The sequence below is a fragment of the Homo sapiens genome, chromosome 15 (assembly GCF_000001405.40).
Source record: "Homo sapiens chromosome 15, GRCh38.p14 Primary Assembly".
Taxonomy (NCBI): Eukaryota; Metazoa; Chordata; class Mammalia; order Primates; family Hominidae; genus Homo; species Homo sapiens.
The window spans coordinates 49,576,366-49,595,472 of record NC_000015.10 but is presented as its reverse complement, the minus strand read 5'-3'; the positions used below and the strand labels follow the sequence as shown (position 1 = coordinate 49,595,472).

Below are 19,107 nucleotides of genomic sequence, written 5' to 3'. Positions count from 1 at the left end.
TGAAGTCCTAGCTAGAACAATCAGATAAGGGAAAGAAATAGGGGCATCCAAATAGGTAAAGAGTATGTCAAACTGTCACTGTTCACTGTTGATATGATTATATACCTAGAAGATGATAAAGACTAATTTGAAAAGCTCCTAGATCTGATAAATGATTTCAGTAAAGTCTCAGGATACAATATCAGTGTATACAAATCAGTAGCACTGCTATATACAAATAACAACCAAGCTGAGAATCAAATCAGGAACTCCACCTCTTTTACAATTAATTAAATTAAATTAATACAATATAAAATAAAATTAAAAATACTTAGGAGTATGTCTAACCAAGGAGATGAAAGACCTCTACAAGATAAACTATAAAACACTACTGAAAGAAATCATAGATGACACAAACAAATGGAAACACATCTCATATTCATGGTGGGTAGAATCAATATCGTGAAAATGACCGTACTGCCAAAAGCAATCTACAAATTCAGTGTAATTCCCATCAAAATAACATAATCATTCTTCACAGAACTAGAAAAAACAGTCCTAAAATTTATATGTAACCAAAAAAATGCCTTCATGCCCAAAGCAAAACTAAGCAAAAAGAACAAATCTGGAGGCATTATAATACCCAACTTCAAACTACACTATAAGGCTGTAGTCACCAAAACAGCATGGTACTGGTATAAAAACAGGCATATAAGCCAATGGACAGAACAGAGAACCTTTAAATAAAGTCAAATATTGACAGCCAACTGATCTTCAACAAAGCAAACAAAAGCATAAAGTGGGGGAGGGAAACCCTGTTCAACAAATGTTGGTGGGATAATTGGCAAGCCACATGTTAAAAGGATGAAACTGGATCCTCATGTCTCACCATATACAATAACCAAATCAAGATGGATCAAAGACTTAAGTCTAAGACCTGAAACCATAACGATCTGAAGATAATATTGGAAAAACCCTTCTAGACATTGGCAGAGGCAAAGACTTCATGACCAAGAGCCCCAAAACAAATGCAACAAAAACCAAGATAAATAGATGGGACTTAATTAAACTAAAAGTCTTCTGCACAGCAAAATAAATAATCAGCAGAGTAAACAGACAACCCATAGAGTTGCAAAAAAGTCTTTGTAAACTGTGCATTGGACAAAGGACTAATATCCAGAGTCTACAAGGAACTCAAATCAGCAAGAAAAAAAAGAAATAATTCCATCAAAAAGTGGGCTAAGGATATGAATAGACAATTCTCAAAAGAAGATATACAAATGGCCAAAAAACCTGTGAAAAAAATGCTCAACATCATTAATTATCAGGGAAATACAAATCAAAACCACAATGCAATACCACCTTACTCCTGCGAGAATTGCCAAAATTAAAAAATTATATATAATATAGTTGTGGATATGGTGGAAATGGAACACTTTTACTCTGTTGGTGTGAATGTAAAGTAGTACAATCACTATGGAAAACAGTATGGAGATTCCTTGAAGAACTAAAAGTAGATCTACCATTTGATCCAGTAATCCCACTATTAGATATGTACCCAGAGGAAAAGAAGTCATTATATAAAAAAGACACTTGCACTCGCATGTTTATAGCTGCACAATTTGCATTTGCAAAAATATGGAACCAGCCCAAATGCCCAATCAACAAGTTGATAAAATGTGGTGTACATATACCATAGAATACTACTCAGCCATAAAAAGGAACCAAATAATGGCATTTGAAGCAACCTGGATGGAGTTGGAGCCATTATTCTAAGTGAAGTAACTTAAGAATGGAAAATCAAATATCGTATGTTCTCACTTACAAGTGGCAGCTAAGCTATGAGGACACAAAAGCATAAGAATGTTACAGTGGACTTTGGGGACTTGGGGGAAGGGTTCGGGGGTTGAGGTACAAAAGACTACACATTGGGTACAGTGTATACTGCTCGGGTGATAGGTGCACCAAAATCTCAGAAATCACCACTGAAGAACCTATTCATGTAACGAAAACCACCTGTTCCCCCAAAACTATTGAAATTAAAAAATAACAAAAATAAAAATAAAAAATAAAATGCAGATTCTGACAGCAAAAAAAATTTTTAAAATAAGAAAGTAAATGCTCTATATGCTGAAAACTGTAAAATATTGATGAAAGAAATTGAGATGAGAGCAGTTCCAAAATGGCCGAATAGGAACAGCTCCAGTCTACAGCTCCTGTGTGATTGGTGCAGAAGACGGGTGATTTCTGCATTTCCGACTGAGGTACCTGCTTCATCTCATTGGGACTGGTTGGACAGAGGGTGCAGCCCTCGGAGGTGAGCCAAAGCAGGGCGGGGCATCACCTCACCCAGGAAGCGCAAGGGGTCAGGGAATTTCCCTTTCCTAGTCAAGGGAAGCCGTGACAGACTGTACCTGGAAAATCAGTACACTTCTGCCCAAATACTGTGCCTTTCCCACGGTATTAGCAACTGGCAGACCAGGAGATTCTCTCCTGTGCCTGGCTCAGTGGGTCCCACGCCCACGGAACTTTGCTCACTGCTGGTGCAGCAGTCTGAGATCTGCGAGGCTGAAGCCTGGTCGGGGGAGGGGTGTCCACCATTGCTGAGGCTTGAGTAGGTAAACAAAGTGGGCAGGAAGCTTGAACTGGGTGGAGCCCACTGCAGCTCAGCAAGGCCTACTGCCTCTATATACTCCACCTCTGTGGGCAGGGCATAGCTGAACAAAAGGCAGCAGACAACTTCTGCAGACTTAAACGTCCCTATCTGACAGCTCTGAAGAGAGCAGTGGTTCTCCCAGCATGGCATTTGATCTCTGAGAATGGACAGACTGCCTCCTCAAGTGGATCCCTGACCACTGTGTAGCCTAACTGGGAGACACCTCCCAGTAGGGGCCAACAGACACCTCATACAGGCAAGTGCAACTGTGGGACGAAGCTTCCAGAGTAAGGATCAGACAACAATATTTTCTGTTCTTCAATATTTGCTGTTCTGCAGCCTCCGCTGGTGATACCCAGGCAAACAGGGTCTGGAGTGGACCACCAGCAAACTCCAACAGACCTGCAGTTGAGGGACCTGATTGTTAGAAGAAAAATTATGAAACAGAAAGGAATAGCATCAACATCCACAAAAAGGACATCCACACCAAAACTTCTTCTGTAGGTCACCAACATCAAAGACCAAAGTTAGATAAAACCACAAAGATGGGGAGAAACCAGAGCAGAAAATCTGAAAATTCTAAAAACCAGAGCACCTCTTCTCCAAAGGATCTCAGCCCCTTGCCAGCAATGGAACAAAGCTGGACAGAGAATGACTTTGATGAGTTGACAGAAGTAGGCTCTAGGAGGTCAGTAATAACAAACTTCTGTGAGCTAAAGGAACATGTTCTAACCCATCGCAAGGAAGCTAAAAACCTTGAAAAAAAGACGAATAGCTAACTAGAATAAACAGTGGAGAGAAGGGCTTAAATGACCTGATGGAGCAGAAAACCATGCCATGAGAACTTCATGACGTGCACAAGCTTCAATAGCCAATTCGATCAAGTGGAAGAAAGATATGGAATCAACCTAAGTGCTTTTCAACATAAGAATGGAAAAAGAAAATATGGTGTGTGTGTGTGGCTGTATATACATAGAACACATTTTCTTTGTGTGTGTGCATGTGTATACATGCACACATACACAAAATAGAATATTATTCAGCCTTAAGAAAGGCTGGGCACAGTGGCTCATGCCTGTAATCGCAGCATTTTGGGAGGCCGAGGTGAGCAGATCACAAGGTCAGGAGTTCAAGACCAGCCTGGCCAACATAGTGAAACCCCATCTCTATTAAAAAATACAAAAATTAGTTGGGCATGGTGGCACGTGCCTGTAATCCCAGCTACTTGGGAGGCTGAGGCAGGAGAATCGCTTGAACCTTGGAGGCGGAGGTTGTGGCGAGCCAAGATCGTGCCACTGCACTCCAGCCTGGGCAACAGAGCAAGACTCCAAAAAAAAAAAAAAAAAAAAAAAAGGAAGGAAGGGCCAGGTGCAGTGGCTTATGCCTGTAATCCCAGCACTTTGGGAGGCTGAGGAAGGACGGAAGGAGGGAAGGAAGGAAGGAGGGAGGGAGGGAAGGGAGGGAGGGAGGGAGGGTGTGGTGGCTCACACCTATAATCCCAGCACTTTGGGAGGCTGAGGCAGGCGGATTACGGGGTCAGGTGATTGAGACCATCCTGGATAACACAAACCCCGTCTCTACTAAAAATACAAAAAATTAGCCGGGCATGGTGGCGGGCGCCTGTAGTCCCAACTACTCGGGAGGCTGTGCCTGTAGTCCCAACTACTCAGGAGGCTGAGGCAGGAGAATGGCGTGAACCCAGGAGGCGGAGCTTGCAGTGAGCCAAGATCGCACCACTGCACTCCACCTGGGCGACAGAGCGAGACTCTGTCTCAAAAAAAAAAAAAAAAAATCAAAAAAAAAAAAAACAAAAAAAAGAGAAAGAGAAAGAAAAGAAGAGAGAGATCTCTCTATTTTTGACAGTGTGGATGATCTTGGAGGACATGATGCTATGTAAAATAAGCCAGGCACAAAAAGGCAACTGTGGCATGATCTCACTTATAAGTGGAATGTATAAAAATGGAACTCATAGGAGCAGAGAGTAGAATGGAGTCTTACTGGGGCTTGTGAAAGAAAGGGAGAAATGGATTAAAGGGTGCAAAGTTTCAGACAGGAGAGAGAAATTCTGGGGATCAATTGGTCAGCATGATGATTACAGTTAATAATAATGTATGGTGTACTTGAAAATTGCTAATAGAGTAGATCTTAAATGTTCTCAACACATAAACTCTGTGAGGTGATGGATATGTTAATTACCTTTTTGGCAGTCATTGCACAGTCTATACATTTATCGAAGCTTCACATTGTACATCATAAATATTTACAATTTTAATTTGTCAATTATACTTTAATAAAACTAGAAAAAAATGAAAATAAGTTAAAATTATCTCTTCTAATCTTCCCCCTTCCCTTCCCCACAGATATTATGGAACTGTCGTAGACTGAAAGGGACCAAAGAGACATGAAGCCAAAACTTAACATTTTTATTCTGAACTAGATTCTTTTGCTATAAAGGGCATAATTGGTTCCACTGAAACTTGAATAGAGTCTTTGTATTAAATATAAATAATGTATCAGTGCCAATTTCCTGATTCTAATGGTTGCATTTATTATGTAGGAGAATGTTTTTGGTTTTTGGAAATATACATTGACGTTTTAAAGGATGATGGGCTATCATATAAGCAAATTATTCTCAAATGATTCAGGAAAATAGTTTTAGTAAAGGACTTGTAACTTTTCTGACGTTTGTGATTGTTTCAAATTTTTAAAAAGTGATAAAAAACAATGCTGTGGAATAAAATCTCGATTATAGCTCATTGGTTTTGAACTCTATTATTTAAATTCATTAAAAATGACTTAAGCTATATTCTCTCTTTCACGTTTTTTGCAGGATTATTGGCCAAGGGAAATCCATTTTAGAGATGATGATAAATGGTCATGCACTCTGAAAAAAATAAAAGAAGATAGTTCATTTGTTTCAATTTATACACACCTATGGGAAAATGTTCCTCGAATATTTGAAGCACTTTTGATCATGGAATCAAAATTAAAGGAATATTCACTTATTTTGCAAAACCACACCTCTGAAATATTTAAGTGGAAAAGCATGATTTCTGAGACAAGTGAGCCTTATTTATTTTTATCTTTTATAGAAATGGAGTCTCACTATGTTTCCCAGGCTGGTCTCCAAATCTTGGCCTCAAGTGATCCTCCTGAGTCACCCTCCAAAAGTGTTGGAATTACAGGCATAAGCCAGTGCACCTGGCCAGTCCTTATTTTTTGTGTTAGTAAAGTAATGGTCAGTTGTCTGTGTGTGTGTGTGTGTGTGTGTGTGTGTGTGTGTGTGTGTGTGTGTAATCTCATAAAGAATGAAATTCTAAGGTACAAATATTAAAAATATTTTATTTTAAAACCTCTTCATTTCAAAATGGTTCAATACAGATTTTTTTAGTTGAACAGAAATATGTGGTTTCAAAGGAAGTATTACTAAAACAAAGCCTTAAAACAGTTGTTAAACTGTTAAGCTTTTGTTAAATTGGAGTGGAGGTACAGAGTATTAGGAAAACAGGAGAGCAAGATTGCATCAACTAATATTCTTACTAGAAACAAACATATCAGTAAGGGTCAGGATAGAACAGAAATATCTGAAACTGAAAGTAAAAGGGGTGATAGTTAACCTATATGGGCTCTCAGGCTAGTTTCTAGGGGTAGCTGGTATTCACTATGGAATAGCTGAATGAATGACAAAGCATACAGCAAGTAATGATAATTTTTACTTCTTTTCAATATTTGTATAACATTTTTCTTATCTAATTGTATTAACATTTCCAGAATAGTTTTAAATACTTATAATTATTCTTGTCTTATTCTTGATTTAATGGGCAAATTTGTCATATATATAAGTCTTGGAAATGATACTAATTGTACTTATAAAGTGTTTTTAGGTATTAGATTCATTATGTTATTTTGGTATTTAATATTCTTTTTTGAACTAAGATTTGTGTAATTCTGAAGATGTGTTTAAATACACTTCTATTAAATTAACTTTTTAAAAATTTTCATATTTAAACTGTAAATTTTTAAAAGTTTATATTTTTAATGTATAAAAGTTATGTATAGCTTCTGTGTATGTATATATAAATACACACACATATATATAGCTTGCATACACACATACACACAGACACCCATGTGTGTGTATAAATTCGTCTTGTAATGAAATAAAATACCCACAAGTAAACAAAGTATGAACATATCCTTTCATATCTTCCTTCTGTTTTTTAAAAAAGGTAATTTTATATATATATATATATATATATATATATATATATATATATATATATATATATAGTCCTCAATATGTAGATATCAGAACTTGGATTCAAGTCTATCTCGGTTATCTGACTTCAGAGCCCCCCATATTGTCTCACTGTGCCCTGCTCCACAGTACTGCACTTTATTGAAATTAAGGTGACCATGAAACAACCAAGTGTAAGTGGCTGAGCTATTTGAAAAATGTGGACTTTTTTAGGAGAAGGGATTGACATAAAAGTTTAGACATAGGAGTAAGTGCCACAGACATGTTAGTTGGAACATGGTATTTCAGAAAAAGGAAACAGAAGATATACTTTATATAATAATTCCAGTTATTCATTCAGCTAACAGTGTGTATTAACATATACTTATCACAATTGCTAATTGATTTCATTGAATAATTTTGTATATAATTTGTTTAAAGTATTTAAAATTTTGTTTATTTTTAGAGGAGGTTCATATGTATAATATATATACTGTGAATTCTTATTTTCTTAAAGGTTCTTATAGAAAATTGGAACGATATGGGGAATTTCTAAAGAAGTACCATAAGAAAAAAAAGATAATGGTATGGTATCTATGTTTTTATCATCCTTGAAAGTTGGATTTTCACAGAAAATATAAACACTACATTTCCACAGATGAGCACTAATAACACTTTTGTAAATGTCCTTTTAGTCTACTGTTACCAATCTATCTCTATGTTTTAAAGATAGCTGCACTTACTTTCTTTTCATACTCAGTATTACTGAGTATTGGCATCTTCACATAACTACAAGTTATTTGAAGACTTATTTCAAGGTATACTATTACATTTTTTGGTTATTTAATAATTTATAACATACTTAGTAGTGCAGGTCCTATATCAGCCCTCTTATTTTAGAAAATTAATAATTCTTTTTGATGACCTTTACTTTGCCAATTTTAAAAAATATTTTTGAGATTTTGATAAAAATGGCAAGTGTTTTGAATTACTTTCAGATACTTAGTCTTTTTAAAAATATGTTCTAAAATTATATAATGTTAGAGCTAGAAAAACTTTGTATCACCATTAGTCTAGCCACCTCATTTAATGCTTTATTTTTAAAAATTTAACTTTTATTTTCAGTTCAGGGTTACATGTGCAGGTTTGTTATATAAATAAACTTGTGACATGCGGGTTTGCTGTACAGATTATTTTGTCACCCAGGTATTAAACTTAGTGCCCATTAGTTATTTTTCCTGATTTTCTCCCTCCTCCTGCCATCCACCCTTCAATAGGCCCCAGTGTCTGTTGTTCTCCTCTATGAGTTCATGTGTTCTCATAATTTAGCTCCCACTTAAAAGTGAGAACATGCAGTATTTGTTTTTCTGTTCCTGCATTAGTTTGCTAAGGATAATGGCCTCCAGCTGGATCCATATACCTGCAAAGGACATGATCTTGTTGTTTCTTAGGGCTGCATAGTATTCCGTGGTGTATATATACCACATTTTCTTTATGCAGTCAACCATTGATGGGCATTTAGGTTGATTCCATGCCTTTGCTATTGTGAATAGTGCTGCAGTGAACATGTATTTGCATGTGTCTTTATGGTAGAATGATATATATTCCTTTTGAGTTCTTTCAGAAATCATCAAACTGCTTCCCACAGTGGCTGAACTAATTTATATTCCCACCAGCTGTGTATTATAAGCATTCCCTTTTCTCTGCAACCTCGTCAGCTTCTGTTATTTTTTGACTTTTTAATAACAGTTATTCTGACTGATGTGAGATGGTATCTCATTGCGGTTTTGATTTGCACTTCTCTAATGATCAGTGATGTTGAGTTTTTTTCATGTTTGTTGGCTGCATATATGTTTTCTTTTGAAAAGTGTTTGTTCATGCCTTTTGCCCACTTTTTAATGGGGTTATGTGCTTTTTTCTTATTAAGTTCCGTGTGAGTTGGATATTAGACCTTTGTAAGATGCGTAGTTTGCAAATATTTTCTCCCATTCTGTAGGTTGGTTGTTTACTCTGTTGGTAGTTTATTTTGCTATGCAGAAGCTCTTTAGTTCAATTGGATCCTATTTGTCATTTTTTGCTTTTGTTGCAATTGCATTTGCCATTTTTGTCATGAAATCTTTGCCCATACCTATGTCCAGAATGGTATTACCTAGGTTGTCTTCCAGGGTTTTCATAGTTTTGGGTTTTACATTTTGGTCTTTAATCTATCTTGAGTTAACTTTTGTATAAGGTGCAAGGAAAAGGTCCAGTTTCAATCTTCTGCATATGGCTAGCCAGTTATCCCAGCATTATTTATTGAATAGGGAGTCCTTTTCCCATTGCTGGTTTTTGTCAGCTTTATCAAAGATCAGGTAGTTGTAGATGTGTGGCCTTATTTATGAGTTCTTTATTCTGTTCCATTGGTCTGTGTGTCTCTTTTTGTACCAGTTCCATGCTGTTTGGGTGGCTGTAGCCCTGTAGTTTGTAATAGTTTGAAGTTAAGTAGCATCATGCCCCCAGCTTTGTTGTTTTTTTTACTTAGGATTGTCTTGGGTATTTTAGCTCTATTTTTGGTTCCATATGAATTTAAAAAAGAGCCTTTTCTAGTTCTGTGAATAATGTGATTGGTAGTTTAATAGGAATAGCATTGAATCTACATATTGCTTTGGGAAGTTATGGTCATTTTAACGATATTGATTCTTCCTGTTCACGAGCATGGAACGTTTTTCCATTTGTTTGTATCATCTCTGATTTCTTTTCAATTTAATTTAATTTTATTATTATACTTTAAGTTTTAGGGTACATGTGCACAATGTGCAGGTTAGTTACATATGTATACATGTGCCATGTTGGTGTGTTGCACACATTAACTCGTCATTTAGCATTAGGTATATCTCCTACTGCTATCCCTCCCCCCTCCACCCACCCCACAACAGTCCCCGGTGTGTGATGTTCCCCTTCCTGTGTCCATGTGTTCTCATTGTTCAATTCCCACCTATAAGTGAGAACATGCAGTGTTTGGTTTTTTGTCCTTGAGATAGTTTGCTGAGAATGATGGTTTCCATCTTCATCCATGTCCCTACAAAGGACATGAACTCATCATTTTTTATGGCTGCATAGTATTCCATGGTGTATATGTGCCACATTTTCTTAATCCAGTCTATCATTGTTGGACATTTGGCTTGGTTCCAAGTCTTTGCTATTGTGAATAGTGCCGCAGTAAGCATACGTGTGCATGTGTCTTTATAGCAGCATGATTTATAATCCTTTGGGTATATACCCAGTAATGGGATGGCTGGGTCAAATGGTATTTCCAGTTCTAGATCTCTGAGGAATCGCCACATTGACTTCCACAATGGTTGAACTAGTTTACAGTCCCCACCAACAGTGTAAAAGTGTTCCTATTTCTCCACATCCTCTCCAGCACCTGTTGTTTCCTGACTTTTTAATGATTGCCATTCTAACTGGTGTGAGATGGTATCTCATTGTGGTTTTGATTTGCATTTCTCTGATGGCCAGTGATGATGAGCATTTTTTCATGTGTTTTTTGGCTGCATAAATGTCTTCTTTAGAGAAGTGTCTGTTCATATCCTTCGCCCACTTTTTGATGGGGTTGTTTGTTTTTTTCTTGTAATTTGTTTGAGTTCATTGTAGATTCTGGATATTAGCCCTTTGTCAGATGAGTAGGTTGCAAAAATTTTCTCCCATTCTGTAGGTTGCCTGTTCACTCTGATGGTAGTTTCTTTTGCTGTGCAGAAGCTCTTTAGTTTAATTAGATCCGAGAAGTGTTTTGTAGTTCTTGTAGAGATCTTTCACCTCCCTGGTAAGCAGTATTCCTAGATATTTTTGTGTGTCTGTGGCAATCGTGAATGGGATTGTGTTTCTGATTTGGCTCTTGGCTTGAGTGTTGTTGGTATATAGGAGTACTAATGATTTTTATACATTAATTTTGTATCCTGAGACTTCGCTGAAGTTGTTTATCAGCTTAAGGAGCTTTTGAGACTATAGGGTTTCTAGGTATAGGATAATGTCACCTGAAAACAGGGTAGTATGACTTCCTTTCTTTCTATTTGGATGCCCTTTATTTCTTTCTCCTGCCTGATAGCTCTGACTAGGGCTTCCAATACTATGTTCAGTAGAAGTGGTGAGAGAGGGCATCCTTTTCTTGTGCCAGTTTTCAAGGGGAATGCTTCCAGCTTTTGCCTATTTATTATGACATTGGCTGTAAGTTTGTCATAGTTGGCTGTTATTATTTTGAGGTATGTACCTTCAATATGTAGTTTAATGAGAGTTTTTCACATGAAAGGATGTTGAATTTTAATGAAAGCCTTTTCTGCATCTATTGAGATAATCATGTCATTTTTTTATTTGAGTTTTGTTTATGTGATGAATCACATTTATTGATTTGCATATATTGATCCAATTTTGCATCCCAGGGATAAAGCCTACTTGATTGTGGTGGATAAGCTTTTTGATGTACTGCTGGATTCAATTTGCCAGTATTTTGTTGAGGATTTTTGCATCAATGTTCATCAAGAGTATTGGCCTGTAGTTCTCTTTTTTTGTTGTTATCTCTGCCCGGTTTTAGTGACAGGATGATGCTGGCCTCATAGAATGAGTTAGGGAGGAGTCCTTCTTCCTTAAGTTTTTGGAATAGTTTCAGCAGGTATGGTACCAGCCCTTCTTTGTACATCTGGTAGAATTCAGTTGTGAATTTATCTGGTCGTGGGCTTTAATAGGTTGATAGGCTATTTATTACTGATTCAATTTCAGACCTCATTATTGGTCTGTTCAGGGATTCAATTTCTTTTTGGCTCAGTCTTGGGAGGGTATATGTGTCCAGGAATTTATCAGTTTCTTCCAGATTTTCTAGTTTATGTGGACAGAGGTGCTTATAGTATTCTCCGATGGTTGTATTTCTGTGGGGTCAGAGGTGATATCCCCCATATAATTTTTTTTTTTTTTTTGCCAAGTGAAAGCAAGTTTATTAAGAAAGTAAAGGAATGAAAAAATGGCTACTCCATAGACAGAGGAGCCCCAAGGGCTGCTGGTTACCCATTTTTGTGGTTATTTTTGATGATATGCTAAACAACGGGTGGATTATTCATGCCTCCCCTTTTTAGACCAAAAAGAGTAACCTCCTGACATTGTCATGTCATTTGTAAACTGTCATGGTGCTGGTGGGAGTGTAGCAGTGAGGATGACTTGAGGTCTCTCACTCTCGTCGCCATTTTGGTTTTGGTGGGTTTTGGCCGCCTCCTTTACTGCAACCTGTTTTATCAGCAAGGCCTTTATGATCTGTAAACTTTTGTGCTGACCTCCTATTCCCTTATCATTTCTGATTGTGTTTATTTGATTCTTCTCTGTTTTCCTCTTTATTAGTCTAGCTAGCAGTCTATTTTGTTAATTAAAAAAAAAAACAAATACGGGAGTTGTCCTGGATTTGTTGATCTTCTCAATTTTTTTTGTGTCTCAGTCTCCTTCAGTTCAGCTCTGATTTTGGTTATTTTTGTCTTCTGCTAGCTTTGGGTTTGGTTTTCTTTTGATTCCCTGGTTCTTTTAGTTGTGATGTTAGGTTGTTAACTTCAGATCTTTTTAACTTTTTGATGTCGGCATTTAGTGCTATAAATTTCCCTCTTAACACTGCCTTAGCTGTGTCCCAGAGATTCTGGTGTGTTATACCTTTGTTCTCATCAGTTCCAAAGGACTTCCTGATTTCTGCCTTAATTCCTTTTTTTTTTCCTGAAAGTCATTCAGTAGCAGGTTATTCAATTTCCATGTAGTTGTATGGTTTTGAGTGAATTTCCTAGTCTTAATTTCTAATTTGATTGCTGCATGGTCCAAGAGACTGTCATGAATTCAGTTCTTTTGCATTTGCTGAGGAGTGTTTTACTTCTGATTATGTGATCAAGTTTAGAGTATGTCCCATGTGGGCAATGAAAATGTGTATTCTGTTATTTTGGAGTGGTGAGTTCTGTAGATGTCTGCCAGGTCCGTTTGACCCAGTGCTGGGTTTAGGTCCTGAATAGCTTTGTTAATTTTCTGCCTCAATGATCTGTCCTAATATTGTCAGTGGCGTGTTAAAAGTCTTCCAGTATTACTGTGTGGGAGTCTAAGTCTCTTTGAAGGTCTCTAAGAACTTGCTTTATGAATCTGGGTTCTCCTGTGTTGGGTGCATATATATTTAGGATAGTTAGGTCTTCTTGTTGAATTGAGTCTTTTACCATTATGTAATTCCCTTGTCTTTTTTGATTTTTGTTGGTTTAAAGTCTGTTTTGTCTGCAATTAGGATTGCAACTCCTGCTTTTTTCTGTTTCTCAGTTTCTTGGTAAATTTTTTTCCATTTCTTTACTTTGAGCCTATGTGTGTCATTGCACACAAGATGGGTCTCTTGAAGATAGCGTACTAGTGGATCTTGGTTCTTTATCCAGGTTTCCACTCTGTGCCTTTTAACGGGGGCATTTAGCCCCCATTTACATTCAAAGTTAGTATTGATATGTGTTGATTTGATCCTGTCATCATGATGTTAGCTGGTTATTATGAAGATTTGTTTATGTGGTTGCTTTATAGTGTCACTGGTATGTGTACTGCAAGCAGGTACAGCCAGGCTGGGGCCCTGGGAGAGGCCAGCAGACCAAGGGGTGCCCAAGATGGATTGGCCCCATTTTTTGGGCAAGATGGCCTTGCGTAGTTCAGGTCTGACAGTTCCCCTAGGGCTGTCATCTTGTTGTTAGTTTGTTATTATGCAGACTTGATTGTGTGGGTACTTTTTAGTGTCACTGGTGTATGTACTTAAATATGTTTCTCTGGTGGCTAGTAACGGTCTTTGATTTCCGTATTTAGCACTCCCTGAAGGACCTCTTACAAAGCAGGTCTGTTGGTAATGAATTCCTTTAACATTTGCTTTTCTGAAAAAGATCTTATTTCTTCTTCACTTGTGAAGCTTAGTTTGGCTAGATACGAAATTCTTAGTTGGAATTTCTTTTCTTTAAGAATACTGAATACATCTGGGTACGGTGGCTCACGCCTGTAATCCAGCACTTTGGGAGGCCGAGGCAGGTAGATCACATGAGTTCAAGAATTTGAGACCATCCTGACCAACATGGTGAAACCCCATCTCTACTAAAAATACAAAATTAGCCAGGCGCAGTGGTGCATAATTCCAGCTACTTGGGAGGCTGAGGCAGGAGAACTTGAACCTGAGAGGGGGAAGTTGCAGTGAGCCAAGATTGTGCCACTGCACTCCAGCCTGGGCAACAAGAGCGAAACTCTGTCTCAAAAAAAAAAAAAAGAATACTGAATATAGGCCCCCAATCTCTTCTGGCTTGTAGGATTTTTGCTGAAAGGTCTGCTGTTAGCCTGGAGAGGTTCCCTTTGTAGGTTTACCTGCCCTTCTCTCTAGCCACATTTAATATTTTTTCTTTCGTGTCAACCTTGGAGAATCTGATAACTATGTGTCTTGTGGATGGTCATCTTGTATAGTATCTCACAAGGGTTCTCTCTGTGTTTCCTGAATTTGAATTTTGGCCTCTCTAACGAGATTTGGGAAATTATCATGGATGATGTCCTGAAATATGTTTTCCAAGTTCCTTTTCTCTCCCCCATTTTCAGGAACTCTAGTGAGTGTAGATTTGATCTCTTTACATAATCTCATATTTCTCAGAGGTTTTGTTCATTATTTTTTATTTATTTTTGTGTGACTGAGTTATTTCTGAGAAGCAATCTTTGAGGTCTGAGATTCATTCCTCATCTTGGTCTATTCTGCTGTTAATACTTGTGATTGTATTATTAAATACTTTTAGCGTGTTTTTCAGCTCTGTCAGTTCAGTTTGGTTCTTTCTTAAAATTATCATTTCAACTTTCAGCTCCTGTATTGTTTTATTGTAATCCTTAGATTCTTTGGAGTTGGTTTCAGTTTCTTCTGAATTTTCATGATCTTTATTTCTATCCATGTTCTGAATTCTTTGCCTGTCATTTCAGCCATTTCAACCTGGTTAAGCACCATTACTGGAACTAGTGCAGTCATTTGGAGGAAAAAGACACTTTGGCTTTTTGAATTGCCAGAGTTCTTGTGCTGATTCTCATCTGTGTGGGCTGATGTTCCTTTAACTGTGGTGTAGTTTGAGTGTAGTCAATTGGCTTTGTTTCTGGATGTTTTCAGAGGGCTGAGACTTTGTGTTGGGTCTTTTTTTGTAGCTGAATTATTGTCCTTGGTTTTATCGGGGCATGTATTGGCAAAGTATTTTTAGTGTTGAAGTTTGGGATGTGATTCAGTAGATGGTGCTTAAGCATGCTGGTTAGTAGCTGGGCACTCGCTCAGCCAAGTGGCTCTTCTGTATTTCCTCACATTTACAAGGCATGCTCCTTTCAAAGAAGTTTTAAAATTGTGACTACTTAGTTTTATCAAATGACTTTTCAAAATCTATTGAAATGGGCTATAGGTAAATTATACTAACAAAAGTTTTAATAGTTATTCTTTTTGTTAAATATAAAAGTTTTATTGGATTTATCAATCAGAATTTTAACATGTATTTATATTTTTGTGGTCTCGTTTTCAGGTTATATGACCAAAAACTATGTTTTTTGTTACTGCAACTCTGCTGCTTGAAAACTTCCACTGTTTCTTTTCCTCCTGCAGAATAAAGCCAGGACTTGGAGATTAACCTTAACATTTAATTAAATCTGACTTCATCTTTTTTATTGATACATAATCATTGTACCTATTTACAGGGTACATGTGATATTTTGATTCATGCATGCAATGTGTAATGATCAAATCAGGTTATTTAGAATAGCTATCATTTTTTTGTGTCAGGAACATTTCAAATATTCTTTTATAGCTATTTTGAAATATACAATACATTGTTGCTAACTATAGTTGCCCTACTATGCTATCAAACAGTAGAACTTAATCATTCTAAATAACTATATGGTTGTACAGATTAACCAACCTCTCTTAATCTCCTCCATTCCCCAAACACCCTTCTCACAGCCTCTGGTAACCACCATTCTACTCTATACCTCCACGAAATAAACTTTTTAAGTTCCCACATATGAGTAAGAACACATAATACTTGTCTTTCTGTGCCTTATTTCACTTAACAGACAACCTCCAGTTTTATCCATATTGCTGCAAATGACAGGATTTCATTCGTTTAATGGCTAAATAGTATTCCATTGTGTATATACACCACATTTTATCTATTTATCCTTTGATGGAAACTTAGATTGGTTCCATACCTTAGCTATCGTGAATAGTGTTCCAGTAAACCTGAGAGTGCAGGTATCCCTTTGATTTCCTTTCTTTTGGAGAGATACTGAGTAGTGGGATTGCTGGACTAATTGTATGACAGTTCTATTTTTAGTTTTTTGAGAAACCTCTGTACTGTTTTCCATGATAGCTGTACTAATTTACATTCCCACCAATAGTATATAAGAATTCTCTTTTCTCTTCATCCTTACTAGCATTTGTTGTCTTTTGATAATAGCCATTCTAATTTGGATAAGATGATATTTCATTGTGGGTTTGACTTGCATTTCTCTGATGATTTGTGATGTTGAACGTTTTTCGTAGGCCATTTATATGTCTTCTTTTGAGAAATGTATATTCAGATCCTTTGCCTACTTTTTCATGGTATTATTTGTGTTTAGTTTTGCTGTTGAGTTGTTCCAGTGGCTTAAATACTAATATATTCTAGATATTTGTCTCTTGTTAAATAGATGGTTTGCAAATATTTTCTCCCATTACAAAGGTTGTGTCATCACTCTGTTAATTGTTTCCTTTGCTGTACAGCAGCCTCCTGTTTTAATATAGTCCCATTTCTGACCCCATCTTTATTGATCTATAGCTTTCAAGCATATAGCCTTCTTTCCAATCATATTTGATCTCATTTTTCCTAAAAAGTCTCTCTTTCTTATTCCTGTGTACACTTTAAAAAGTGAGAATAATATGATCCTCTTTCTGGAAGCAATACATCATTCTTTCCAATTTGTTTTATATGTCATATGTCATCTTCTTTCTAATATATGTGTATGTGTAATATGTGTGTATGTGTGGTATTGTGTGTGTAAAACTTACTTGTAAGCTTAGTAATTGTTGGAGTAATTAGGAATGTGGAAATTAACCTGCTATCTATCTATCTATCTATCTATGTCTGTCTATAGTATGTATACATATTATGTATGTTTTATATATATATATTTAAACATGACTAGATGATCAAAAACTAATCTATGTGTATAAAGCAGTGTAGTAGACATTAAAATATGCCACCCAATTCCTTTTCAAAGAAGGATCTGTGCTCTAGGGCCTAAGAGTGCTGTTAAGGGACACCCTTCAACTGTCAGCCCCTTCATTGGTTTACTTACCTCCAGAGAACTTCCTCTTCTGAGAAAACATCTTTCCAGGAACCATCCAGTGACAGCTCAAGTTGGAGCAGAAAGGCTTGGCTATTTCAGTCCAATGCAGGACAGCTCTGATCAATACTTTCAGCTCTAGAACTCTTCTTTGAGCCAGTTGTGGCTATTAGGCCTCCATCATAACTAATTTCTCCATCTGCCCAATCCTGCCTCTTCCCTTGACTGCCAAAGGCATTGATTCCAAAAGGCATTGATTCCAAAAGCACTCACAATAAACATTCTGAACACTAAACTTCCCCAGAGAGTCTATTTCCCAGGGAACCAAACTGTAATAAGTAGTTTGTTTATTATAGCCCTTATATCTATTTGTTTTGTTTGTATATGTATCTGATTCCGTTTTTGAACCATAACTAGTTTGAGGGCAAAGGCCATCTTTGAATTTCCAATATCAAACACAGCAATAGTATTTTAGGCCTCTGTAGGATATATATACATATATCTATAGTTATCTATGCATACTAGTTAACTGAACAAATTTACTAAATGTAAAATTTCTTTAATTTAGAGTTTTAAAGAGTTTATTTAAAATGTTTTCCAGCTTTCAGATGAAATGGAGACAGAGAAGAATATAGAGGTACTTAAAATTTCTGTTCTGCCAGATTGTATATCAAGTGTATTATGTAGGACTAAAATAATGTTTACAACAATATAAACAAGGCTCTAAATATAGAGAGAGGTACCAGAGGAGAGAGTTGGAAACAGGTATAGAAGCTTTCTCTTTCTGCCTAGTCTTTATTTACTTATGTGTAGTCTAGCTAAAATTCTTGATCATTTGAGTTTATATCAAAATTAGTTCTGAAATATGATTTTGTTTTTATTTTAGATATGACATATGAATGTGCTAGGGTTCTTAATTTCAAAGAAGCAGAAAATATGAAGGTTTTTCTTTTTTTGCAGGGGGTGTGGGGAATGGGGCCTCACTCTGTGGCCCAGGCTGGAGTGCAGTGGCGCAACCGTGGCTCACTGCAACCTCTGCCTCCCAGATTCAAGTGATTCTCCTGCCTCAGCCTCCCAAGTAGCTGTGATTACAGGCACGTGCCACCACGCCCAGCTAATTTTTGTATTTTTAATAGAAACAGGGTTTCACCATGTTGTCCAGGCTGGTCTCGAACTCCCGACCTCAAGTGATCCACCCACTTCAGCCTCCCAGTGTGGTGGGATTACAGGCGTGAGCCACCGTGCACGGCCAAAGGTTTTTCTTAGATGGGTTATATAATTTTTAGTTAATTTAGTAAAAAGAAGTAAAGTAATTATGTTAGTGAGTGATAGTTAAATGTTGGTCTTCTGTAGTTATATGAGTCTACTATAGTGAGAAGAGTGAAATATTTACTCTCCTGTTATATTTTCCTCTTTCTAGGGTTGCAGCTTCACAGGATTCAAAGCAAATGAACTTACTCAGCTACCCAGACATTTGGATGCTGAACAAATTTATCTTTTTATTTTAAAAGCCCATAATTTTGATGTATGTAAATATTTCATTTTATTGTAGGATACATTTTGACAGTATGATTTAATGAATCAGACCTTTACTTAAAGCTATGATAAATTAGGTGTTCAACAAGATTTGATCCTTTGGGCATTAAATTTGGCAGGAAAGACCAGTGATGTGTCTAACCGCTAATTACCAGAAAAGAATATATTAAACTCTGTGTTACTGCTTTGGGACCCTGAGGTTGCTAGCGTACACTGGCTTGGCATGTAACCGTAACAGGTGTTTTTTCCTTCTTGTCTGTTCCTGCTCTGTCAGCTCAGGATGTTTTAGCCTGCTCATTTTTGATCCTGAAATAAGTTGTGAGTGCCCTTCTTCACAACCCTTCTGGGTGTTTCTTTTGAGTCT

General features: G+C 36.9%; 1 protein-coding gene across 28 annotated transcripts in view; it reads left to right on the top strand.

The window, feature by feature from the left end:
* Nucleotides 1–19,107, top strand: part of FAM227B (family with sequence similarity 227 member B) — a 293,849-nt gene that overhangs the window by 25,346 nt on the left and 249,396 nt on the right. For 16 of the 28 annotated variants that reach the window (NM_152647.3, XM_005254214.4, XM_006720423.4 and 13 more), the window contains 4 exons: nt 5,466–5,697; nt 7,390–7,457; nt 17,809–17,844; nt 18,628–18,732. In NM_152647.3, coding sequence (NP_689860.2) covers nt 5,466–5,697; nt 7,390–7,457; nt 17,809–17,844; nt 18,628–18,732 — 441 coding nt within the window. The remainder of the gene's footprint in view (nt 1–5,465; nt 5,698–7,389; nt 7,458–17,808; nt 17,845–18,627; nt 18,733–19,107) is intronic. The other 12 variants (XM_047432224.1, XM_047432222.1, XM_017021994.2 and 9 more) reach the window with 4 other exon arrangements.